The sequence below is a fragment of the Homo sapiens genome, chromosome 1 (assembly GCF_000001405.40).
Source record: "Homo sapiens chromosome 1, GRCh38.p14 Primary Assembly".
Taxonomy (NCBI): Eukaryota; Metazoa; Chordata; class Mammalia; order Primates; family Hominidae; genus Homo; species Homo sapiens.
This window is the reverse complement of record NC_000001.11, coordinates 42,359,909-42,386,747: the sequence shown is the minus strand read 5'-3', so window position 1 is coordinate 42,386,747 and position 26,839 is coordinate 42,359,909. Positions and strand designations below refer to the sequence as shown.

The 26,839-nt window shown below is 43.8% G+C and overlaps 1 protein-coding gene across 3 annotated transcripts in view, besides 3 other annotated features; it reads right to left on the bottom strand.

The window, feature by feature from the left end:
* Positions 1-5,956, bottom strand: part of RIMKLA (ribosomal modification protein rimK like family member A) — a 43,441-nt gene extending 37,485 nt beyond the window's left edge. For all 3 annotated transcript variants that reach the window (XM_047418484.1, NM_173642.4, XM_006710585.4), the window contains exon 1: positions 5,651-5,956. Coding sequence is in view for 2 of the 3 variants with exons in the window: in NM_173642.4 (NP_775913.2) it covers positions 5,651-5,813 (163 nt within the window). In the remaining variant the exon portion in view is untranslated. The remainder of the gene's footprint in view (positions 1-5,650) is intronic.
* Positions 5,740-5,959: a silencer, noted in NCBI's record as "silent region_761". NCBI's record gives its function as "represses an Ori minimal core promoter by ATAC-STARR-seq in GM12878 lymphoblastoid cells {active_cell/tissue: GM12878}" and the evidence as "EXISTENCE:reporter gene assay evidence [ECO:0000049][PMID:35858748]".
* Positions 6,040-6,159: a silencer, noted in NCBI's record as "silent region_760". NCBI's record gives its function as "represses an Ori minimal core promoter by ATAC-STARR-seq in GM12878 lymphoblastoid cells {active_cell/tissue: GM12878}" and the evidence as "EXISTENCE:reporter gene assay evidence [ECO:0000049][PMID:35858748]".
* Positions 6,170-6,349: a silencer, noted in NCBI's record as "silent region_759". NCBI's record gives its function as "represses an Ori minimal core promoter by ATAC-STARR-seq in GM12878 lymphoblastoid cells {active_cell/tissue: GM12878}" and the evidence as "EXISTENCE:reporter gene assay evidence [ECO:0000049][PMID:35858748]".

Genomic DNA, 26,839 nt, shown 5'->3' with positions numbered 1-26,839 from the left:
AAGCCTGGGTAATTTTTGTATTTTTTTTTTTTTTAGTAGAGACGGGGTTTCACCATGTTGGCCAGGCTGATCTTGAACTCCTGACCTCAAGTGATCCACCTGCCTCGGCCTCCCAAAGTGCTGGGATTACAAGCGCCTGCCACAGCACCCCCCCAATTTTTTATTTTTATAGAGACAGGGTCTCTATAAAAAATTTTTCAGAATATGTTGTAGGTTTGTGTTAAAACAATATAAACCCAATTATAACCAAAAAACAATTATAATCCAAATTATAATTGTTTCTCGGGACAATGGGTAAAGTGGCCAGGGAAGCGGCTGGAGTGAGGTGAGGCTAACACTGACATATGCAGATGCAGTGTCCTCCCTGCTAGTGAGGGTAGTGGCAAGGAGGTGAGGTGTGGATGGGTGGAGATGACACAAACATCTCTGAGTGATGGCTGTACTCCCTTCCACCAAGCAGGCCCAACAAATTTGGTGGAAGTGTTCTGGTAGCTGCAACAGGTGGCTCAGAAATCTAGGAGTAGGGGCCAGGCTCGGTGGCTCACGCCCGTAATACCAGCATTTTTGGAGGCCGAGGTGGGCAGATCACCTGAGGTCAGGAGTTTGAGACCAGCCTGGCCAACATGGTGAAACCCCATCTCTACTAAAAATACAAAACATTAGCCCGGTATGGTGGCACATGCCTGTAGTCCCAGATACTCGGGAGGCTGAGGCAGGAGAACTGCACGAACCCGGGAGGCAGAAGTTGCAGTGAGCTGAGATCACACCACTGCACTCCAGCCTGGGTGACAGAGTGAGACTCCATCTCAAAAAGAAAGAAAGAAAGAAAGAAGGAAAGAAGGAAAGAAGGAAAGAAAGAAAGAAAGAAAGAAAGAAAGAAAGAAAGAAAGAAAGAAAGAAAGAGAAAGAAAGAAAGAAAGGAAGGAAGGAAGGAAGGAAAGAGAGAGAGAAAGAAAGAAACAAACAAACAAAGAAACAAAGAAAGAAAGAAAGAAAGAAAGAAAGAAAGAAAGAAAGAAAGAAAGAAAGAGAAGGAAAGAAAAAGGAAATCTAGGAGTAGGGCTTTGAGATCCATGAAGGATCTCATCCACTGGTTCTAAAACTCTTCCTAACATAGTTCATGGGGTATCCATAAAAACTCCTGTTAGAAACATAAACTAAACATCCACCCCACTCTCAGCCCTTGTAAAAGGATCCAAGAACACTTTGATTTAAAGAATCTGACCTAGAATTTGCCATTTAGCTACCAACGTTTTAGCTCTAAATGTAAGGGAAGGAATGCTGAATCATCCTGCTCCTAAGAGACAAACAGTAACACAACCTCATTTCCAGGTCAGACTCATTTTATATGTCTTGGTGGGTATCTGTCCCTGAGTTTGTGACTATACTTGTTTCTTGAGCCAATTAATCATACAGACCTGTGGGTGGGCAAAGAACTTAATTCTTCCTAGTGAATCTGTCCTCATTTACACATCCCCTCATGATCTCCCCCACACAGAAGCTCCTTAGCTCATTGCAGTAAAAGTCTCACATACTTCAAAGTAGCTTTTAAGACATTTCATTCAGTCATCCAATAAACATTAACGGAAGGCCTACTATGTACCAGTTTTGAAGCACACATTTGAGGAATCCTGGTTCTTCAGAGGGAGGGGGGATATAAACTGTATAAATAGACAATTATAGCAAAATATGATGAGTGCTATTTTAAAAGGTATGGACAAAGCTATTTGGCAGCAGATGGAAGAGAGGGACTACTTGAGGACAGAGAAAGGAGCGCAAGCAAGCCTTTTTAGAGATAAGTGACTTGTGCTGGATTTGAAGGATGAAAAAAGGTGAACCATGTGGGAGGGAACAGTGGGCATCTGAGGCAGAGGGAATTTTAGTGCAAGGTCTGGAGTCACAGAGAAGCATGGTGAAATCAGTGTAGACTGATGCAAGGGATAAAGTGGAAGAGAGGAGACAAAGTGTTTAGACCAGAATTACTGAGTATTGGTCCTAACTCTCAGCCAGTGCTATATTCCCATATATCCTTATTGGCATTTAGAAGAGCTAATAGGTAAAAAGCAGCTAAACCTATGCCCAGCACAGAATAAACACTATATATATATATATACACACACACATATATAGTATATATATACATACATATATACATATATACACACATATATACACATATATATGTATATATACACACATATATATACATATATATGTATATATACACACATATATACATATATACATGTATATATATATACACACACACACATATATGGCTATGACCATTATTATTATGTGCATTCTGGTGTCACATTCATCACTTTATCCCTAGGGTTGAGAATATTTAGTACGTATTTATGAAACGAATGAAGAACTTGCAGTTTCTAAAAAGGAAACGGAGATGGGTATGATTTTCACATAATGCTACACCCAGCAAAAAGTGAAGGGAGGCTGTTTTCTACAGGATTACTTCAGTCACCTAAAGATCATTTTCCTTTCTCCACTGTCTCCCACTCAGATTGCTAGATTAAAAATAATAATCATGAAAACTTGTAATCTCTTGTCTGAATCCTACTTCCAGATATAACCTGAAACTCTAAGCCCTGGATTTGGGCTCCCACTAGCCTCCAGGGAGAAAAGCTCAGGAATGAATTTAAGCAATAGACTGAGGCACTGCCCATACCTGCCCCAATCAACTCCACCATCATATTCCTACACTAACATAAAGAAGCAATGGAAAGGAGTGAAGGCACAAAAGCTTTGTAAAGGTGATACCTGAATTTCCTAAATTATAAAATTACATTGCAAAGTCACTGTCTAGCCTCAATATAACTCAATTCAGTTCAATTCCACATCTACTGAGAAAGGTACTATAGGCTGCAGACATCCTAAAGGAAGCTTATTCCATATCACTGGGCTAGAAATTAGAAGACCAGGTTTTTAAACTTTAGGTTTGCTGTTAACTAGCTGGATGGCATTGAGGAAGTCACTTCACCTTTCAGAGCCTCAGGTTCTTCTTCGTAAAATGAAGGAATTAGAATGGTTGATCTGAAAATCCTTCCCAGCTCTTACATTCTGTAGTTCTCAAATGGTAAATAATATCAATATCATCATAACTACATATTTCTGTATTTCAAAGCAAGTTGAATTCTGGAATTTTTTTTTCGAGAAATACTTTGGCTCGGCAAATTACCAAGTGTTTTCTATAGTCTGACTACAGAAGAAACTAGGAACCAGAGATCATATCCTCATTCATTTAAAAAAATATGTATTGAGAGCCTACTACGTGCAAGGCACTATTCTGGCCACTATTATAGCACTGAACAAAGCCAACAAGGTCATTCTCCTGGGACTCACTTGTGCTTTAATTAATCTACTTCCATAACAAATCTTTGGACAGCAGAATTGGTGATCTAATCGTTTTGTTCTACGTTTTGTGATTTGTGTAGGCTACCTCGGAATTAACAGAAATTAAAACTGCATCAAAAAATACCTGTCTTCAATTTCTCCATCGACCAGGCAAATAGCTGTGTACATTTTCCTGTAGTTAAAAAGAACAGGCCGGACGCGGTGGCTCACGCCTGTAATCCCAGCACTTTAGGAGGTCGAGGCGGATGGATCACCTCAGGTCAGGAGTTTGAGACCAGCCTGACCAACATGGTGAAACTCTGTCTCTACTAAAATAAATAAATAAATAAATAAATAAATAAAATAAAAATTAAAAAAAAAAGTAGTGGCACATGCCTGTAATCCCAGCTACTCAGGAGGCTGAGACAGGAGAATTGCTTGAACCCAGGAGGTGGAGGCTGCATGAGCCAAGATGGCGCCATTGCATTCCAGACTGGGCAACAAGACCCAAAACTCTGTCTCAAAAAAAACAAAAAAAAGAACTCCTGGTTTGTGAATAGATTAAGGTATTTTCACACATGAATTCTATTAACATTTAAGACACTAAACAAAAGGGTCTGAGTGTTTCCTGTGGCACTAGCATTTAATTTTATCTTTTTTTTAGGACTGATTCTTTAAAATGAGGTTTTAGATACAGAGCATTTTCTTGCTCTTACAGAATTTGTGACGGTTCTACAAACTAAATGTGATGTGGAATTTGGCTACTGTATCTCAAAAAAGAGACATCTTTACAAACTGTAAAATAAATAAGCAAAAAGTTCATCCTGGGTAGAAAGATGTACATGTTAACTACTTAATCTAGGTCGGTGAAATACAACAGATTATACAATTTAAATATGATCCTGAAACACATAAAGTGAGAGGAACCTTAACCCCTAGTTTCTATAAATAAGAATCCCGAGATTCAAAGACAAAAGTGGTTTGCCCAAAGCAAAGCCAAGATACTTGTTAACTGTAAAGCTGTAATAGGAATTCACATCTGCAGATTCCCTGTTCAGAAATCTAGTTCTACATTAACTGTGACAGTTTTAATAAATCAAGGATAGAGAGAGGGTACCGGTTGCATCTGATAGTCATTGTTGTAGATTAAATGTAAGGTACCTAATGTTTATGGTATATTTCTCCAACAGGATATACAATCTGATATTAAGTATGAGGGACTTCGATAAACTTGGAGATGAAAAATCTATAACAGATATATTCCACTCAGAAACAGGTCATATTCAAAATCTCACTTGTAAGTAGTCTTTCCGAATTTGAAATTCCTTCCCCTGCCAAAGCAAAGTAACAGATTACGAGCTTATTTAACCATTAATAATTGTTGAAATAATGCGAACAGTATCCCAAGATGCACCCTGAACTGGGCGCAAATCCTTTTGAGTCCTGGACTCCCTGAAATGGTTGGATGCCTCCAGTGGAGCCCCAGAGACACTCAAACAGCAAGCCAGAGGGTTTTCTGCGTCAGGGATTCCTAAATCAGAGAGGCCTGTATTAAGGATATACGAAAAAATAATTAACCTTTTGAGGTCAAACCCACAGATGACAACCATGTCTTACCCACAAAAGTCTCCTGAACACAGCAGTGGAGTGATCAGTGAGGCCAGAACTGTCTGAACCTGAAATCCCGGCTCTTCTGGAATCAGAATTCAACGCTGCTAGGGAGAAGGATGAGTTAAACCCATCAAAGGTCTACACTCCCACTTTACACTCGAGAAGTGACTCCAATCTTTCTCAGATTTCCCCCATATGTGGCTTTCTAGTTTGGAAATAATATTCTATGTGGTGCACATTACTGATGCTCACACACTCCCAAAAAACTTTTTTAAAACAGTCATCTTAATAGTAATTTTGTAAATCTGGTGTGGATTTCTAGAAACCTCAGAGTCTAAACTGTCAAGGTATTGATGCGAGCAGGATTTGCAAATGTGGGGTTTAACAGCCTGATTTTCCTCGGACACCTGGGTGGCTTCAGGTGAATTCGGGTTTCTCACAAAATGAAGTCCCCTAAGTAAATTAAATCGCGTTCTCGAATCTTGGCCTCGGGGCAGGTGGTGGTGGTTAAAGAAGCTATGAAGGTTAGCGGCTTTCTCCAACCCCAAGAAGTCTCGCAGCTAGAGTGCGGCTAGTGTGCGGGCCCGAAGGAGACTCTGCTGCGGGAGGCCCGGCGAGCGCGCCCACCCGACCGGCTCTCGTGGACCCCGGCGCGCCTCCCTGCCCTCCCCGGGCCCGCCTCGCTCACCGAGGTGGCCGCCGACGATGGTGACGGCGATCTGGTCCATAAGCACCGCCCGGAAGCGCACGTCCTGCTCGGAGCAGCGCTGCCGGAGGGCGCGCAGGATCTGCACCTGCGGGTAGTCCTCGCGGATGCGCCGGTCCGTCAGGAACCAGAGCTGGGAGCACATGGCGGCCAGGGCGGTGCGCCCCGCGCGGCGCGGACCCCTCGGCGCCCCGGGCCGCTCGCTCAGTAGGGCGAGCGGAGGGGCGGCCGGCGTCCGGGGCGAGCGCGCCACGGCTCCGCTCCCGCGGGTGCGCCAGGCGTCTCTGCAGCCCTGACCCAGCGAATCCGCCCGGCCACTCAGCGCCGCCGTCGGCCCCGCCAGCCAATCAGCGCGCGGCGGCGGGCGCTGGCGGCTGCAGAAGCGACCCTGGCGGGCGGTGCCGGGGAAGGACGGCGGGTGGGGGGCTTGCGGCGGCGGGGGAAAGGACCCGGGGTTCCGGGGAGCGAGCCGCCGGCGGGCGCAGGCGAGGCGGAGGAGGGCAGCCCCGGCAGGCCCCGGACACCCGGTGGACGTGGCGCTGCGGGCTGGGGTGGGACAGCCGGAGCAGGAGGGGCCGGGGCGGCGGCCCTGTGAGGCTCGGAGGGTTTCCGAGCTGACGGGCCAGAGATGCGCAGTGGGCGGCGGATGCGTCTCCCAGGCGATCCCGGGCGCTCGGGGGCTGGGACACGGGCGGACGCCTGCTGAGCCCCGGACAGGGAGGGCCTCGGGGACGTCCCAAAGGAGATTCCGGGGTATGGCGAAGGTCACACGGCTAGGTCCCCAGTTGGACCCTAAAGCATTGGAAGGAGAGGGATTTCTCTGCCGAAATCCTAGCCTGAAGCCCCACGGGGGTGGGGGAGGATGTAGGAGAGGGGGAAGTTGAGTCTTACCCACCTCCCATTCAGATAATTTGAAAGTGCATTTCCTGGGGTCTCAGATTTTCTTACACTGGACATCCCCTCCTAGGTTTCAGCAGGTCTGAGCCTTCACAGACTCGAGGTCATAAAAAATTGACCTAGCATCCTTTTCAGTTAGAAGGACCACTGGCTGGTCTCCCTTCACCACTCCCGCTCTCCCCAGGCCATACAACTGAGTCATCTTTAAACACTGTCCTTGGTCCTGGCCAATTGCAAACCCTGCCTGCAGACAATAGTGTTTGAAGCCAGATTTTCCTTTCTAAATAACTGCAGGATTGAAGTTAGCCATTTTTGGAGACTGCATTTGCTCTTCCAGTTCATTAAAATATGCCTTTTTTTAATTTCTTTTTTGGCTTAGGGAAGCAAGAGTAGTTTCAAGGTAGACCCAGCAATGGCAACTTAGAAATGGGGTAAGTTGTCTCAGGGAAGGCACAGGCTTCTCTGTAAATATTGTGCAGGTGTGTGCATTTACTCACTAAGATGAGCCTATAGGAAAGTTCTGTATACTGGAATTTCAAAAGTTATTTTTCAAGCAATGTTTTTCTTTTTTTTTTTTTTTTTTTTTTTTGAGACGGAGTCTCGCTCTGTGGCCCAGGCTGGAGTGCTGTGGCGCGATCTCGGCTCACTGCAAGCTCTGCCTGCCGGGTTCATGCCGTTCTCCTGCCTCAGCCTCCGGAGTAGCTGGGACTACAGGAGCCCGCCAGTACGCCTGGCTAATTTTTTGTATTTTTTAGTAGAGACGGGGTTTCACCGTGTTAGCCAGGATGGTCTCGATCTCCTGACCTCGTGATCCACCCGCCTCGGCCTCCCAAAGTGCTGGGATTACAGGCGTGAGCCACCGCGCCTGGCCTTTTCAAGCAATCTTAAGTAAGTATTTTGATGTTGCAAAATATCTCCTCCCCCGTTCTATGAATGTATTTTCTTAAAGTAACAATAGTGCCCTATGGATTGGTAACTTTCAAAACTATTTTATGGCAAAAGACAAAATTACAACAAATTTAGTTATAGATTGAATTGGCTTTTGAGATTCATGAATTGGGGTAGCCTCCATTCCACAGAATAGAATGAGAGCTTTCACTGGGCAATGGCAGAAGAGTGGGTTTTAAAAGAGGGGAACAAGGAAATAGAGCAATGGAAGAAGAGCTGATTGCTTAACATCAGGCTACTTTGGGTTACTTTTTTGGTAAGGGTTAAAGCAGAGGGGACTTCCTTATTCTGACTCAGGTAAACTGAAATCTCCTGTTTTCAGGAAAAGCTGGTCTGTTGTGGGATGTACCTCAAGTTTGATTATGTGGCATTTAGCAGGAGGGACTCGATTTGGTTTGGTCTATTCTGTTGTGGCCTGGTGCAAAAGCTCAGTCCAAAACAATGGCCTCCCATAATTTTTGTTTAACACTTCGTAAGCTTGAGCTCTAGAACCTCTATGTTCTACATTGGCCTTTTCCTTGATGTTTCATGTTATACATTTTTTTAACCCTGGCTCCTACAGTATCACCCATAGAATGTGATGCTTCCTTTAAGGCTTCTATAGTATCACCCATAGGAGGTCTATAAGATAGTCAGAACCTTGATTTTCATATATCTTTACTAAAAGATATATAAGTCAGTGAATTTAAAAGTTACTTATAACCCATTTTCAAAGCCATCCACACTAGACTAGAATGTTTTAAGTTAACTGTAGATGGCTATCAAGGTCCATAAAAGCCAGGCTTGAGAAGAGCAGAATCTGAGGATGGGATCCAGATGTTGTAATCACTTTCTCTGAACTCCCTCACCAGGAGCTCACTACCAGCTCTGTGATCTCCCCTTCTCCAGATGGGACACAAAGACCTGGGACAGTAGCATATCCAGTTAGGAAATGACTACACATGTATGTGCAATGTTCTCTTACGTCACCGGAATTCCTCAAGCACAGAGGCAGCTTTTCCAGGTACAGGTCTGCTTTCTAAGATGTATTACTTTATGGAATATTTCTCCATAGGTGACTCCCAAATTCAAATTTAACCTTGATGTTCCCTGAGCTTTAGGATTTAAAAGGATGTTGTTCTGCCATCACCTCAATGTCCCTAGGCTAAACTAATTATTTTCCCCTCCAGTCCAGGCTCAACTGTCTTAAACAAAAAGGAAAATGAATTATCTCATATAACAAGAAACCTGGAGGTAGGTACGTTAGGATTCTTTTTTTTTTTTTTTTTTTTTGAGACAGTCTCACTCTGTCATTCAGACTGGAGTGTAGTGGCGCGATCTTGGCTCACTGCAACCTCCGCCTCCCAAGTTCAATTGACTCTCTTGCCTCAGCCTCCCGAGTAGCTGGGATTACAGGAATGTGCCATCACACCCGGCTAATTTTTTTTTATTTTTAGTAGAGGTGGGGTTTCGCCATGTTGGCCAGGCTGATGTCTTAACTCCTGACCTCAAGTGATCTGCCTGCCTCATCATCAGTGACCCAGACTCTTTCCATATTTTCACTCTGACAGCCTTGGGCTAGTGCCCCTCATAGCTACAAAATGGCTGCCACAATTCTAGCTGACGTACATACATGCACAATGTCCAGCAGAAACAGAGAGACTATTTCTTCCTGTGTGTCTCTTTTTTTAATCGGCAAGGAAAACTTTTCTCAGAAGCCCTCAAGTCGACTTTCCAGTCTCATATGCCCACATCTAAGCCAGTTACCAGCAAAGAAAAGGAAACTATCATGAATGGCTTAATTTCATTATGGTTCATTCCTTGGGGCTGGGAATTAGACTCCCTTCCTCCAAGCACATGGCCATGTAGAGGTGGATGAACTGGGGAAAGATTGGAGGTATTTTAGGAGGATTGAAAGGAGAATAGATGGCCAGGTGCAGTGGCTCATGCCTGTAATCCCAGCACTTTGGGAGGTTGAGGTGGGCGGATCATTTTAGGCCAGGAGTTCGAGACCAGCCTGGCCAACATGGAGAAACCCTGTCTCTACTAAAAATACAAAAAAACTAGCCGGACATGGTGGCGCGTGCCTGTGATTCCAGCTACTTGGGAGGCTGAGGCACAAGAATCACTTGAACCCAGGAGGTGGAGGTTGCAGTGAGCCGAGATTGTACCACTGCACTCCAGCCTGGGCCACAGAGCAAGACACCATCACAAAACAAAACAAAACAAAAAAAAAGGAGAATAGATGTTGGGAGGATAAACAATGGTGCTTCGTATAGATGACAATATGGTAAATGTATCAGTCAAGATAAGCTAGGTTAGGCTGTGGTGACAAGTGATCCCAAGAGGGCTTGCAACAATGAAGTCTTATTTCTGAAAATGTACTCATACATAGTAGGACAGTATGGCTATCCTCTAGGTTGTTTTTGTGCCAGGACCCAGGCTGACAGAGCAGTCTTTACTATTTCTTTTTTTCAGAGAGAGGATCTTGCTCTGTTGCCCATGCTGAAGTGCAGTGGTATAATCAGAGCTCACTGCAGCCTCAAACTCCTGGGCTCAAGCAATCCTCCCACCTCAGCCTCCTGAGAGGGTAGGACTACAGATGCACACCACCATACCCAGCTAATGTTTTTCTTTTTTTGTAGAGATAGGGGTCTCACTGTGTTGCCCGAGCTCATCTTGAACTCCTGGCCTCAAGTGATCTGCCTGCCTCAGCCTCCCAAAGTGTTAGGATTACAGGCGTGAGCCACTGTACCGAGCCCAGAGCAGTCTTTATCTGGAATATGTTGGTCTCTCATGGAAGAAGGAAAGTGATTATGATAAACTACATGCTGGCTCTTAATACTTGTGCCTGGCACTTACACATGGTCAGGTCACATTTTCTTGGCCAGACCAAGTTCACCTGGCCACACCTGATGTCAGTGAAGTAAAGGAAATATAATCCTTCCCTGGGAAAGGCAGCAAAAATTTGTGAACAATTGTGACCAACTATACAGTCTGCTACAATCGAAGACCAGAAATAGCCAAATCCTGCTCTGCTAATCATCCCTCCTCTCCTTAGGGTTCCCAAGGGAACTATATCCAAGAAAAACTGGAGTAGAAACCAAAGGATCATTTTATTCATAGCTGAGCTAGCACCCAACAACATCTAAAGCAGAGCTCTGCAAAAAGATGGAATCGAATTGCATGGCTTAGGTTTAAGGCTGAAGCGATGCTTCCTAATTCCCTGCCCCACCCTCCCTGCGCTGTAAGTTTTGGGACCAGTATGCTTAGGCATGCCTACAGAAAGAGAGGAGAAGATGCTCAGGTCTGCAAAGCTTTACTCATCCAAGTGTGTGCTAAATGAAGACTGGTCTGGGCCTACTCAGAAGGAAATGAGGGCTAGGCACAGTGGCTCACGCCTGTAATCCCAGCACTTTGGGAGGCTGAGGCGGATGGATCACCTGAGGTTAGGAGTTCGAGACTAGCCTGGCCAACATGGCGAAACCCCCATCTGTACTAAAAAAAAAAATTAGCCGGGCGTGGTGGTGGGCGCCTGTATAGTTCCAGCTACTCGGGAGACTGAGGTAGGAGAATTGCTTGAACCCAGGAGGCGGAGGTTGCAGTGAGCCAAGATCACGCCATTGCACTCCAGCGTGGGCAACAGAGGGAGACTCGTCTCAAAAAAAAAAAAAAAAGAAAGAAAGAAAAGAAGGAAATGGGGAATGATCCTTTAGCACAAAGTGGCCCCAACCACTAGTGTGGACTAAATATCCTGGTTTGATATTGTGATATAACAAGGGATATATATTTTGGTCTCTGTCCCCAGCTCCTGACTACATCTCCTAAAATCCTTGTAATTTCCTAAGTGATAGGAGCTATAGGAGCATCTTTTCCTGAAATACTGGGTTTAGTCCCTGGCTCCTGAAACAGCTCCAGAATGATAAAGTTGTGTTGTTCCTAACAGGCCCCCTTCAACCACACCTGAGTTTATGTTAGTAAGGTGACTTTTGGAAATCTCCCAAAGATGAGGAGCTGATTACCAGAGGAACCAACCGTTTGATTACAGAGTTGGAACTTTCAACCCCACCCACTCACCCACCCCAGCCTCTAGAGAGAGGAAAGGGGTTGAAGGTTAAGTTGGTCACCAATGGCCAATGATGTAATCAATCACTCCTACTTAATGAAGCCTCCATAAAAACCCTAAAGGACAGGCCAGGCACCATGGCTCATGCCTGTAATCCTAGCACTTTGGGAGGCCGAGGTGGGCGGGTTGTCTGAGCTCAGGAGTTTGAGACCAGCCTGGGCAACATGGTGAAACCTTGTTTCTACTAAAATACAAAAAATCAGCTGGGCATGGCAGCGTGCGTCTGTACGTCTGTAGTCCCAGCTACTCGGGAGGCTGAGGCAGGAGAATTGCTTAAACCCAGGAGGCAGAGGTTGCAGTGAGCCGAGATCACGCCACTGTACTCCAGCCTGGGCGACAGAGCTAGACTCCGTCTCCAAAAAAACAAAAAACCCTAAAGGACAGGGTTCCAAGAGCTTCTGGGTTGGTGACTACATCAAGTTGCTGGGCGGTGGTGCATCTGGAGAGGACATGGAAGTTCCACGTTCCTCGCCCCACACTTTGCCTATGCATCTCTTCCAAGGCTCTTCCTAAATGGTATCCTTTATGATAAACCAGAAAACGTAAGTGAAGTATTTCCCTGACTTCTGTGAGCCATTCTAGCAAAATTTTTAAACATTTATATTATAGACAGGGTCTAGCTCTGTTACCAAGGTTGGAGTGCAGTGGCACAATCACAGCTCACTGCAGCCTCAACCTCCTGGGCTCAAGCGATCCTCCTGCCTCAGCCTCCCAAGTAGCCGGGATTATAGGCATGTGCCACCAAGCCCAGCTAATTTTTTTAAATAATTTTTTTGTATAGATGAGGTCTTGCCATATTACCCTGGCTGGCCTCAAACTCTGGCCTCAAGCAGTCCTTCTACCTCAGCCTCCCAAGGCACTAGGATTGCAGGTGTAAGCCACCACACCTGGCCATTCTAGCAAACTATTGAACCCAAGGAGGGGGTCGTAGGAAGCCCCAATTTATAACTAGTTAGTCAGAAGCACAGGAGGCCCAGACTTGTGACTGGCATTTGAAGTGAGGGCAGTCTTATGGGACCAAGCTCTTAACTTTTAGCATCTGATGCTAGCACCAGTAGATAGTGTCAGAATTGAATTGAATTGAATTGTAGGATACCCAGTTGGTGTACGAAAAGAATTGGAGAATTGCTTGTTGTAGAAGAGACCCACACATTTGGTGTCGAAAGTGTTGTGTGAGCACATAAAAAATACATCTAGGCTGGACGCAGTGGCTCATGCCTGTAATCCCAGCCACTTTGGGAGGCTGAGGTGGGTGGATCACCTGAGGTCAGGAGTTCGAGATCAGCCTGGCCAACATGGAGAAATCCCATCTCTACTAAAAATACAAAAGTTAGCCGGCCGTGGTGGTGGGCACCTGTAGTCCCAGCTACTCGGGAGGCTGAGGTGAGAGAATTGCTGGAACCCAGGAGGTGGAGTTTGCAGTGAGCCGAGATTGCGCCAGTGCACTCCAGTGTGGGCAACAGAGTGAGACTCCATCTCAAAAAAAAAAAAAAAAAAATCGGCCGGGTGCAGTGGCTCACATCTGTAATCCCAATACTTTGAGAGGCTGAGGCAGGCAGATAACGAGGTCAAGAGATTGAGACAATCCTGGCCAACATGTTGAAACCCCATCTCTACTAAAAATACAAAAAATAACTGGACCTGGTGGCGCACGCCTGTAGTCCCGGTTACTCCGGAGGCTGAGGCAGGAGAATTGCTTGAACCCAGGAGGCAGAGGTTGCAGTGAGCCAAGATTGTGCCACTGGACTCCAGCCTGGTGACAGAGCAAGACTCCATCTCAAAAAATAAAAATAAAAAATAAAATAAAAAATATTTTCCTTTGGCCTGGGCTTTGACCAATCAGGTTAATATCTGCTTCTTCCTTGTGATCATAGCCGTAAGAGGACAGGGGAGAGGAGATAATTCCTCTGTTCCCACATTTTGTTGTCTCTTATTCCATTGGGAAGATGAGTGGAAAATTCTCCTACCAAACAGAATATGTGCGTTGTCTAATTACCTCCCCATCTAGATTAAGCCTGTCAAGGTCAGGGGCAATGCATCATGCATACTGTTTCTACATGTGATAGGCACTCAGTTTCTGTTGGTAGCAATTGTGGTTGTCATTTAAGAAACATCATTGCAAGTTCAGTTTACAAAACTGTGGCCAATACAGATATAGCAGGCTTTCGTAACCTGGGGTTCTGGGGCTTTCTTATCTTTCTTTCAACCTTCACTATATATTGGCATAGAAAGGTATTGAGATATGGGACTGGACAGTAGAAGGAGTGTCTTTATAAACATTACATATATCCCCAAGAAGATGGATCTGCCAAGTATATAGAAGATCAAAATTCAAGCTACCTCAATAAATTAGAGAAACTGTTGTCAATAGCAGGTTAAAATGCACTAAAGTAATTGGATTGTTCCTAATACAAAGGATAAATGCTTGAGGGGATGGATACCCCTCAAGCATCAATCCATGATGTGATTATTTCACATTGCATGCCTGTATCAAAACATATCATGTACCCCACAAATATATACACCTACTATGTACCCACAAAAATTAAAAATTTAAAAACTTACATAAAATGCTCTAGGATAAACGGAAAAGTGGTATAATTAAGGAGAGAAAAAAAAGCATCACATGGCTGGGTGCAGTGGCTCATGCCTGTAATCCCTGCACTTTGAGAGGCTGAGGCTGGTGGATCACCTGAGGTCAGGAGTTCAAGACCAGCCTGGCCAACATGATGAAAACCCATCTCTACTGAAAATACAAAAAATTAGCTGAGTGTGGTGGTGCGTGCCTGTAATCCCAGCTACTCGGGAAGCTGAGGCAGGAGAATCACTTGAACCCGGGAGGTGGAGGTTGCAGTGAGCTGAGATCGTGCCACTGCATTCCAGCCTGGGCAACAAGAGCGAAACTCCATTTCAATTAATCAACCAATAGCATCACACACAATAGAATTCAAGGGAAAAACTGACCACACAGAAATGTGCCAAGAAGGGCCTGATAGATGTGGCAAACCAGTAATGGAATGTGTAGAAAAATTGGGGGCTATATTAACAGAAGCCTGGGAGGCCAAATTAATCTTCATATCTCTGTGACCTAGCACAGTGTGTGGCACACGGTGGATATTGATACATATTTATTGGAAGAAAGTGTGACATTGACTTTGGTCACATCATCTTTGCTGTTCCCTGCCTCTGAAAAGTATTTGCGTAACCAATTCCTGTCCACACTTCAAGACCCAGCTTAAACACAACTTGTTCCATGTTGCCTTCCCTAAAATCCACCTCAAGCCCAGCTAGAAGAAAGGGTTCCATTTCTGAATTATTGTAAGCATTTAATAACTCAAGCAATTATTTTAGTAATGTGCACTCTGATTGCATATTGGGTGAATGATAATTCTTAGATTATGGCAATGCAATCTATATAATTTTTAAATTATAGAATTAATAAGGGAGGGTGTGTGAAATTCTAGAAGTTTAATCTCTGGCACTGTCTCTGACTTTCCTTGCTCTAGTTTTTTTTTTTTTTCAGATGTTATATGTCATCCAGATATCAGCCTCATCCTCTTATTCAAGCTCACACCCCCTGTGTCCTCTCAAACAAGGGCCTTAGTGAACCAGGCAGAATTTACTGAAGTAGAGACACAATTTGCATCATGTAGCTTGCAACAATTCATTTAGTAATCCCTCTATAAACTATTTTCCAGAGTACCCTCTCTGGTTCTGCTACTAGAGTGTTTTTTGTACTCTTCTCCACCCTCCAAGCCTCCAGCTTTGCTGCTCTTAACTCTCCCACTCCAGAGCCTCTTTCAAATTCCTCAGCCCTTCATTAGTCAGAGGAAAACATTTTATCCCAGCTCATGCTTCCAAAAAGTGTACCCTGGACAAATGACTCTGTTCAGCAACACAGAAGTTCTTCCAATTAGAAGAGCCATCCTCTTCAGAAAACAGAGGAGGATCATAAATACCTTTTCCTTTCTGCAGACATAATTAACACAAAATGACTAAGTGGGGTTAGTCAAGGAAGTCTTATTAGCAGGCTTGTTGGAGTCAGCTTTTGAAGGTGGCAATGGACATAGTTTTGCAGGGTGGAGTGCAAAGAAGGCATTCAGGTGGTTGCTGGCTGCAATCCTGCTCTGGATGAAGTTGGCTCCTAGAACCAGGTAGAGGTTTATAGTTTTCAAGGGACTTTTCCTATCCCTCCCAAGACAAGGCTGCATAGTTGCTTATCCTGTTATCTGCCAGCCTTAGCTTCACTTAGCTATAATCATTAAGGATAGACATTTGTTGTCTCAGCCTTTCCTAGTCTCTTAGTCATTTCTGACCAAGTCAGGAATTAGATTAGGAGCCTCAACACTGTTTCCTTCCCTTCCGTGTTAGGATACAGGCTATGCTGCTATAACATAGACCCCCCAAAAGACAGTGACTCAATAAGAAGTTTATTTCTTTCTCACTTAATAGTCCAGTAAGGTGGATGTCTGACTATACAGATAGCTCCGCTCCAGTTGTTCATCTTGGAACCCAGGTTTCTTTCATCTCAGTGTGCCACCTACTCCAGGATGTGCTCATTGTTTGCATGGTTGAGCCTGGCTCACTTGGCCACATCTGTGTCTAGACCTCTGGAAGGAGAAAGAAGGGAAAGAGAAGGTGGAGAGCAAGTAGCTTGCTTTTAATGACATAACATCAAAGTTGTACTCTTAACTTCCATTCACATCTCATTGGCTAGAACTTGGTCACATGGTCACATCTACTGCAGGGAAGGCTGGATAATATATTCCCTAACTGGATAGACATATGCTCAGCTAAATGTAGTGGAAGAGAGAACGGCTTCCATTACAAAAAGGAAGAGGAGAAATGATGATAGGGATGATGAGCAGTTTCCACCGTACTTCCCCATGGCCTGTGGAATAAACTTCTTAGCATGGCATAAGAGACCCTATGGGACCTTCAGCTTTCCACTCTAGTAATATCCAATTACTTGACATGCCCTGAACTTGCTTTGCTGTGTTTCCCTTCCATGACTGTTTATGGTAAATTTTTCTCACCTTTCTTTGCCTGCTAGAATCAGCTCAAATAACATCATCTCCAAGTGTTCCTAAAACTCAGTCTGGGGCAACTGACTCTTCTTTGTCTTCTCATAGCACACTATGCATTCATCTCCTCTGGCACTTGTCAAATTCCCCCACTGACTGCAAAAGTTTGAAATCATCTCCTTTCGGCTCTGTCACCATCTAGATTGTAAGCACCTTGAGAGCAAGTATGCTATGTCTTAGTCGTATTTGTACCTTTAGTTCCTAATTTGAGCTGAATTCCTTTTGCCTACCAGTGGGTGAAAGATGTTGTGCCATTGCCTGAGCCCTTGCATGCTCACTGGGTTGTAGCTTACATCTGTAATAGCCAGGCTGTATTAGTAGACATTCTTGTTCTCACTGGTTTGGAAGCACTAGCCTGAGGCTGCTGCTGGTCTAGGATCCCAATCCTCTTTCTAGTCCTTGTGAATTTCCTCCTTTGAGGAGCCTAAAGTTTGTTTTGGTTACCCCTAGGGGCTAGCTGCTAAAGGGCATGACTGCCATTTACTGCCTTTGATCTTGGAAGCTCTTGCTGCTAGGCTTCACCTGCTATGGATTTTCCTGATGGTGAGACCTGGGGGAATTCAATTCTGGTTTATTGTCTTTGGACACTGACAAATGATCGTTTAGGTAGATCATTTCCTCCCAGTTCTGCTCCTAGTGGGCTCTGGCCATTTTCCACTTGTCACTGCGAAGACTCTATTCTGCCTGACTTGTGAATGTTTTCCATTTTAAGATTGATAAGTATTATTGGTACCTTCTATTTTAAACTAACTGGTCCATGATGAGAATGGATTAACAGCTTTGTGGCATATCACTGACACAAAAAGCAACTTGTACAGACTTTCTTTGGATGAATATATATATATATATATATATATATATATATATATATATATACACACACACACACACACACACACACACATACATATACATATCTACATACATGCTTAAAATATGAATATGTGAGCATGCAAACCAGGGTATTGAGAAGGTTATTCATATGGTAGATGTTCTTTATTTTATAAAAGGGCTTACTAGGAAGATCTTATGCATTATTTTCTATCTTTTTGGTATAACTTTGGTAATTGTTCAGCAAGGTACAATTCCCAGGTCAGATGGATGATTTGGGCAGCCACATAATCTGCCCTTCTGTGTGTCAAAGCTGTGGATCAGAACAAGGAGATTTAACCTTAAAAAGTCAGCAATTTAGTCAGATTGTCAAAAGAACTCAGTAATATCCAGGGAAGTAAGAGGCAGGGAACTCTAGTGTTCTTGATGAGCTGAAAATGAATTGGTAATTTGTCATGAACTGAAAATTCTCAATTCCAAAAGGTCATGGAAGAGTCACAGATAGGTCCCACCTGGGCAGCTCAAGTACCGAGAACCCTTCCAAGTTTCCCTGCCTGTATTAGTTAGAAGTTATTCATTTACAAATGACAGAAATCCAATTTAGCATAAGCGGCAAGGGAGTGTACTGACTCACGGTCCTTGGAAGGCTAGGAATGGACTTCAGTCACAAGTAGATCCAGAGACTAAAATGCATTTTCCAAATTGGCCTTTCTCATTTTTTTCAATCCCAACCTTCTTATTCTTCATTGATCCCATTCTTTTCTATGGGAATTACCTTCCTCCACAAGGCAGGGAAGATAGCCCTCATTCACATTCTAAATGTTCTTTATCTGGAAGGCTGGATAACTTTTCTTCTATCTCCAAATGAAAAAATTCCCAGGAAGAACTTTGATTGGCCTGACTCAAGTCACATTCTAGCCCTGGACTAGTCATTGTGGCCAAGAGTACAGGGTACGATTGGCTGGGCCCTGTGGCGGGGAAGTGGGGTGGTATAACTAGTAGCCTCGTGAGACTCAGAATTCATGTGGGTCACACTCTCCTTTCTAATGCTGAGACTCTCCAGTAAATATCTCACATGTTCGCACCAAACAGCCCAGGCTTCATTTCATACTTCTGCTTGTTTCTACTCTTGATGTTCTGCACTGACCACTGCTTGCTTTTAGTGTGAACACCTGCTTTGTGGTTCCCTTAGGCTGCCACTAAAACCACTTAGCTGGACCACTGTTGGCCACTTTGCTGCTCAGGCCACTGCTTGTGCTTTTTTTCCCGGACCTCCTCTCAGTGGTCTATTTGGAAAAGTGCCCATGGGCATCTCAGATACTCTGGCAGGGACTAGTTCATGCAGTTGTGTAATTAGGAACAGTTATATAGGTCGTTCAGTGCATAAGGGCATCCCATGAAAGCAAACATGGGAACTGAAGTCTAGCATGAAATCCAGCTTACTAAGCTGTACATCTACCTTTTTGTGTTCTCCAGGTAGAAGACATACTTTTTTTATTTGCTTAAGGGTACCAAGCCACCATGCATCAGGGAGAACATATTACTTGAGCTGATTCTAGCAAGCAAAGAAATGTGAGAAAGATTTACCATAAATAGTCATGGAGATAAGACACAGAAAAGCATGTTCAGGGAATTTCAAGTAATTGGATATTACTAGAGTGGAAAGCTGAAGGTCCCATAGGGCCTCTTATGTCATGCTAAAAAGTTTATTCCATAGGTCGTAAGGAAGTGACATTTTATTTTATTTTATTTTATTTTATTTTATTTTATTTTATTTTATTTTTTTGAGAGTCTCACTGTCACCCAGGCTGGAATGCAGTGGTGTGATCTCAGCTCACTGCAACCTCCACCTCCTGGGTTCGAGCAATTCTTCTGCCTCAGCCTCCTAAGTAGTTGGGACTACAGGCATGTGCCACCATGCCTGGCTAATTTTTTTGTATTTTTAGTAGAGATGGGGATATGCAATGTTGGCCAGGCTGGTCTTGAACTCCTGACCTCAAGTGATCCACCTGCCTCGGCCTCCCAAAGTGCTGGGATTGCAGGCGTGAGCCACTGCGCCTAGCCAGGAGGTGACGCCTGTAATCCCAGCACTTTGGGAGCCAAGGCGGGTGGATCACGAGGTCAGGAGATTGAGACCATCCTGGCTAACACGGTGAAACCCTGTCTCTAATAAAAATACAAAAAAAAAAAAAAATTAGTTGGGCGTGGTGGCGGCTGCCTGTAGTCCCAGCTACTTGGGAGGCTGAGGCAGGAGAATGGCGTGAACCTGGGAGGCAGAGCTTGCAGTGAGCCGAGATCGCGCAACTGCACTCCAGCCTGGGTGACAGAACGGGACTCCGTCTCAAAAAAAAAAAAATTTCAGACAAAGCTTCCCTGCAGGCTAGCAGCAGCATAACTCTGGCTGTTTCCTCTGAAAGGTTAGGAACAAGTACATCTCTTCTGTTTGCCATTGTATCAGAAGAATGCCACTACCATAAACATAACATTGTGAGAGCAGCTAGGGGCACAAGCCCACCTCACCTGTCTTTATTAGGCCTGCTATAATAATATACCATAAACTTATTGGCCTACAAATGACAAAAACGTATTGCTCATAGTTCTGGAGACTGGGAAGTTCAAGATCAAGGCGATGGCATATTAGATGTCTGATGAGGGCCTATTTTCTGGTTCATAGATGGTAACTTCTTGCTGTGTCCTCACATGGCAGAAGCGGCAACACAGCTGTCTGGGGTCTCCTTTATAAGGGCACTAATCCCAATCGTGAGGGCTCTGCCTTCATGACCTGATCACCTCTCAAGTCCCCACTTCCTAATTCCATCACATTGGTGTTAGGTGTTAGCATGTGAATTCTGGGGGGACAGAAACAGTCAAACCATAGCACCACCCCATCATCAAACTACATCTTCATATATGATAATCTCAGCAATGTGAATACAACTATTTTGAATAATTGACCTTCACACTGATTGGCCAACTAAGTCAGTCCTGGACCTACAAACTAAACCCCTGGTGAAAAGCAAAAGTCAGATGAGCCATACCCCTTACTTGGAAAAATTAATAGTCATTGGCCCTGTCCTTTCTTGCCTGGGAAGGTGACAACATACAATCAGTATCTTGTATTTATTTTGTCATGTCTTGCTGAAGCCTACATATTTTATTTTTTTTTATCTTGAAGCCAACTGAAGGCTCCTAGGTGCAGTTTTTATTTGACTACATCAGATAATTTAGTTATATTCAATAGAAGAGCGTGCACTGTATATAGCATAGATTAGGCAGACTATATAGGAGGCAACATGGGTAGTAGGAAAGAAACCATCGAACTGGGAGACCCAAGTTCTTGTCCTGCCTAGCACTGCTAACTAGCTAGCATGTGACATTAGAAAAGCCATTAAAACTGGCCAGTCATGGTGGCCCATGCCTATAATCCCAGCACTTTGGGAGGCCGAGGCGGGCAGATCACCTGAGGCCAGGAGTTCGAGACCAGCCTGGCCAACGCAACAAACCCCGTCTCTACTAAAATATAAAAATTAGGCGGGCATGGTGGCAGGCACCTGTAATTCCAGCTACTTGGGAGGCTGAGGCAGGAGAATTGCTTGAGCCTGGGAGGCGGAGGCTGCAGTGAGCTGGATCGTGCCACTGCACTCCAGCCTGAGCAACAAGAGCGAAACTCCATGTCAAAAACAAAAAAAAACAACAAAAATAGAAAGGCCTCTAAAACCTCACTAGCCATCTGCAAAATGAAGGGCTTTAGATAACCTCTAAGGCCAGCTTTAAAATGCCATCATTCCATAGTCTCATTGGAAGTGTCTGTAGGCTGTTCAAGAAACTCATAGACACCAGGGACCAAGGACAAATCAGCTGCCCTGAGCCAAATACCAAGAGGGAACAAGCCCAAGCTGGTGATAACCAGAGGTGCAGACGCAAAGTGTGCACTTGTCTTCCAGGAAGGTGTTTGGTGGCTGGGCACAGGGGCAATGAGAGATAGTGTTGGAAAATAATTTAGTCATGGGTTCACTAAACGTTCCTTTCAACCTAGGTTTAAGATACATCTAAACATTCCCCATCAGTTGCTTTTTTGGGGGGGTGGGTGGTGTCATCATATCTCTAGAGAAATATATTCCTAAGACCTACACGCATAGTAAAGCTCTCTGTGGTACCTTTAGAGGCTGTGCACAACTTCACAGACAACTGGTAACATTAGGATAAAGTATTATATTGTTAATCCTGGCTAGTTAGGAGGCTGAGGTGAAAGGATTGCTTGAGGCCAGGAATTCAAGATGTGCCTGGGCAACATAGAGAGCCCTCCATCTCTCCTAAAAGAAAAAAAAAATATGTTGTAGCCATTCTGGATAGTTCCAAATGTGGCCCAAAGGGTACTGGCTATCTTCTGGCCTTGCTTGATCTGTGATGTTGTTTATGCTCATAAGCTATAATCTGTACTCTGTTGATGGCACAGCTTGGATTCCAGATACCCCCTTAGTTATCTACAAGAATAGGAGAGTGAGTCCTGGCCTATAGGAGATAAGACTCAGACTAGGTCTGTATAATATACATCACATCTCCAGAGACTGCTGACAAGCCATATGAGACACGGAGGAAGTCTTTCAGAATACCGCCATTTCCAAGAGATAGTACCTGTCTATGTACCAAGTCCTATGTCCCAGTAAAAGAGCCTGGGGCCAGGCATGGTGGCTGATGCCTGTAATCCCAGCACTTTGGGAGGCCAACGCAGAAGGATTGCTTGAGCCCAGGAGCTCGAGACCAGCCTGGGCAACAAAGTGAGACCCTGTCTGTACCAAAAAATATATAATTTTAAAAATCAGCCAGGCTTGGTGGTGCATGCCTGTAGTCCCAGCTGTACTCTTTGGAAGAAAGCGTCGCTATGCACAGCCCACACTAAGGAGTGGGGTGGTATGCTTGCTTCCTTCAGGGCAGAGTAGCTACATAAATTATTTTGAATTCGTTTGCATGGGAGATTCAACTCTTCTCCTCATTTACTTATTCTTCAATCACTTATTTATTTCATTCAGTGACTTATGCTTTCATCCAATTGGCTGTTCCTATCTGCAAGAGAAATGGGAAATGCAGTTTTTCATGTGGGCGCATTGTTCAGAATTTGGAAGGAAAGAGTCACCCTGGATTTCATGGATATTTATTTTGTTCATTGGGTTATAATCCAATACTAATTTGTTTATTTTGTTGCTCAAATTGTTCCAGCTTTGGCCATTGAGAGTTCTTTCAGTTGGTCCCTGTTTCTCTTTAACATATTCCCATCATTGTGTTATTGTGGTTTTTGGTTTTGTTTAGTTATGTTTATGTTGCTTTTTAGCATTTCCTTATTTCTGGCACTAGAAGATGTTTCAGATTCATCTTGTATATTTTCTGTCCTAATTTTGGAACCAGCCATTTCTCCAAGGCCCATGGTTTGTTCCTTGATTTGCATATTTCCATTTAAAACAAACTCCTTAGAAAGTGGTGATATCAGCCAGGGCGCGGTGACTCATGCCTGTAATCACAGCACTTTGGGTGGCTGAGGCGGGTGGATCACTTGAGGCCAGGAGTTCGAGGCAACCTGGCCAACATGGTGAAACCCCATCTCTACTAAAAATACAAAAATTAGCCAGGCATAGTGGCAGGCGCCTGTAGTCCCAACTACTCAGGAGGCTGAGGCATGACAATCATTTGAAGCTGAGAGGCAGAGGTTGCAGTGAGCCGAGATTACACCATTGCACTCCAACCTGGGTGATGGAATGAGACTGTGTGTCCAAAAAGAAAGTGGTGAGGGAAGTTGAGAGGAGAGGAGAATGGGCAGGACCTACTACCCCTCTCACTTCCTATTGATTCAGTTGTTTTACCTTGCTTAAGCAAATAAAAGTTTGAAACTCATATTTATTTCCTATTGTTGCTATAATAAATTACCACAAACTTTGTGGCTTGAAACAACAGACATGCATTATCTTATAGTTTTGGGGATCAGAAGTGTAGAAATGGGTCTTATGGGGCTAAAGTCAAGGCAGGGCTGTGTTCCTTCTGGAGGCTCTAGGGGAGAATCTGTTCCTTGCCTTTTTCAACTTCTAGGGGCTGTTTCTCTCCCTTCCTTGGCTCATGGCCTCCTTCAATAATGACATCACTCTGACCTCTGTCTTTGTAGTCAAATCTCCTCTCTCTTCAGCTTCCCTCTTTCATCTTTTAATGACCCTTGTTATTACATTGGGCCCTGTATTACTTCATTCTCACACTACTATAAAGAAATACCTGAGATTGTGTAATTTATAAGGAAAAGAGGTTTAATTGGCTCACAGTTCTACAGGCTGTACAGGAAGCATGGCTGGGGAGGCCTCAGGAAACTTACAATCATGGCAGAAAGCAAGGAGGAAGAAGACATGTCGTTCATGGCTGGAGCAGGAGGAAGAGAGTGAAGGAGGAGGTGCTACACACTTTTAAACAACCAGATCTCGTGAGAACTCACTATTATGAGAACAGCAAAGAGGAAATCTGCCATCGTGATCCAATCACCTCCCACCAGGCCCCTCTTCCAACATTGGGGATTACAATTTGACATGAGATTTGGGTGGGGACACAAATACAAACCATATCAGGCCCACTCAGATTATTCAGAATAATATCTCTATTTTAAAACCTTTACATTAATCACATCTGCAAAGCCCCTTTTACTACATAAGGTAACATAGTCACAGGTCCTGGGGATTAGAACATGGATGTCTTTGTGGGGGTGGGGGTGTCATTATTCTACCTACTATAAAACCTTAAAACCAAAAAGTGGCATCTGCTGATAAATCACAGTTTTACCTTCCTTTCTGCTACACAGGACACTCAAACTCTGAATGTTTTCAACAGCCTCAGACAATCATTTCTTCTTTTTCCAAAAGGAGATGATAATAACAGTATTATTTAATAAACCATTCTAAAAACCTTATGTTGCTTTTTGGTATTTTACCAAAAATGTATCACAATTTTCCTCACTTATTCTACTGATATTTTCCTCAGTAGCAATTTAGAACGTGTAGGTTAAATAGTACATATGGTTGATTTCCTATTCTCATTAAATGATCTCTTAAACTTTAAAGGCTCAAATGTTTATACAGGCTTCTAGGTTCATGATGGCCCACAAAGCCTATCTATTCCTTGTCTTCTATGTCTTTTCCATCCTGATAGTCTAAGTCCTCATCGGGCAATCATATAGATTAGAGAATGCAAGCTATGTGTCCCATAAGGTAGACCTAATGCATTAGACTTACAGTTAAATAATTGTGGATTTTTTTCCAAATGAAAAAAGTTACATTAATGAATATAATTTGTTATAGATTTCAAAAACGTTCCCTATTAATTTTCCTCAACATTGGTACCTCTTTCTGCTTGTCTGTCAGTGTATGCTAGCTGACAACAAAAGAAATGAATAAGAAGCCAATTAATATTAATAGAAAAAGTCAGAGATAGGAAATAAATTATGTCTAGTTTGATAGGTCACGGTGTGTTTCTATAATTTTATGTTGCATACATCTAATAGAGAACTATTTTGCTAGCTGAAATGCTTTCTCACATAAAGAACTCTAGATGTAAAAAATAATTACCTTTCCCTAAATATGGTGGAGCCAACTACGATTTTTTTCATTTTATTGCAGATACTTTATAAAAATATACTATTTTCCTCTTGTAAAAGAGAAGTTTCCTCCTGGAAAGGCAAGAATATGGGCTTTGGAGCTAGATAAATCTGAGTATTAACATCTTACTAGTTGTATGACTTTGTTAGTTTTTTAAAAATTCCCCTCCCTCCTTCCCTTCCTTCCTTCCCTCCATCTCTCTCTCCCTCTCTGTCTCTCTCTCTTTCTTTTTTCTTTTTCTCTCTTTCTTTCTTTTGACAGGATCTCACTCTGTCACCTAGGCTGGAGTGCAGTGACACAATCATAGATCACTGCAGTCTCGACCTCTTGGGCTCAAGTGATCCTTCTGCCTCAACTTCCCCAGTAGCTTGGACTACAGGCATGCACCACCATGCCCTGCTCATTTTTAAATTTTTTGTAGAGATGGGGTCTCCCTATGTTGCTCGGGCTGGTCTCCAACTCCTGGCCTCAAGTGGTCCTTCCACTTCATCCTTCCAAAGTGCTGGGATTACAAGTGCCTGACCTAGTTGTATGACTGAATACATCACTTAACTGAATAATTTGTAAGAAATTACATGTGGTTGTTTGTAGAAGATACTAATTAAAGCAACTTAAATACAAAAGAGGCATATTTCTTCCTCAGAATAAAGAAGAGCAGAGTTAGGCAGTTCAGGGTTGGTGTGGCTGCTCCTTGGTCATTAAGCATCCAGGATCTCCCCTTTCCATGTGCTCTGCCATCTTTGGCACACACCTTCATGTTCTAGGTTACTCTTGGTCCAATATGGCTTTTGAAGCTCTAGCCACCTCATCTGCCTTCCAAGCAACAGAAAGGACAAACGGAAGAAGGGCAATAATGACAGAGTTCCAAGAAGCCTACCCAGTGACTTCTGCTTACATCTAGTTGGCCACTTTTATCTGCAAGGGAAAGGGAAATGAATTACATGTAATAGTTATTAGTATGGGTTTCAAGAAGCTGATTAAACCACTTGGAGGAAATAGGCAGTGTGCTAACCCACCAGTATAATAGAGAAATATTATGTGTGAGTCTATCCTTGATTTAGCAGCAAAAGCATAAGAACAATAAATATCTTGGGCTTAAATGTAAGTAAGCTAGTTGAAGTGTTTGTAGAAAATACCCTAATGCATATTCTCTCTCTCTCTCTCTCTCTCTCTCTCTCTCTCTCTCTCTCTTTTTGGAGTCAGGGTCTCACTCCTGTCACCCAGTGGTGCTATCATTCCTCACTGCAGCCTCAACTTCCTGGGCTCAGGTGATTCTTCCACCTCAGCCTCCCAAGTAGCTGGTACTACAGGTGCGTGCCACCACACCTGGCTAACTTTTTGTATTTTTAGTAGAGACAGGGTTTCGTCATGTTGCTCAGGCTGGTCTCAAACTCCTGGACTCAAGAGATCCACCCACCTTGGCCTCCCAAAGTGCTGGGACTACAGGTGTGAGCCACCATGCCTGGCTGCATTTTCTCTTAATAATTTGGATTATTTCCCTGCCACTCCCTTGCCTGTACTGTTATTCAATCAAAGTAGGCAAGGGTTAATGCCACGTAGGAAGGAAAAGGGTATTTGGTAGAAGAATTCCTGAGAGACAGGAAGGGAAAGCAGGAAGTTCTTCTGATAATTGGGAAAAGCAGAGAGTGTGAGAGACAAAGGAGTGGGAGGCCAGAAATAAGTG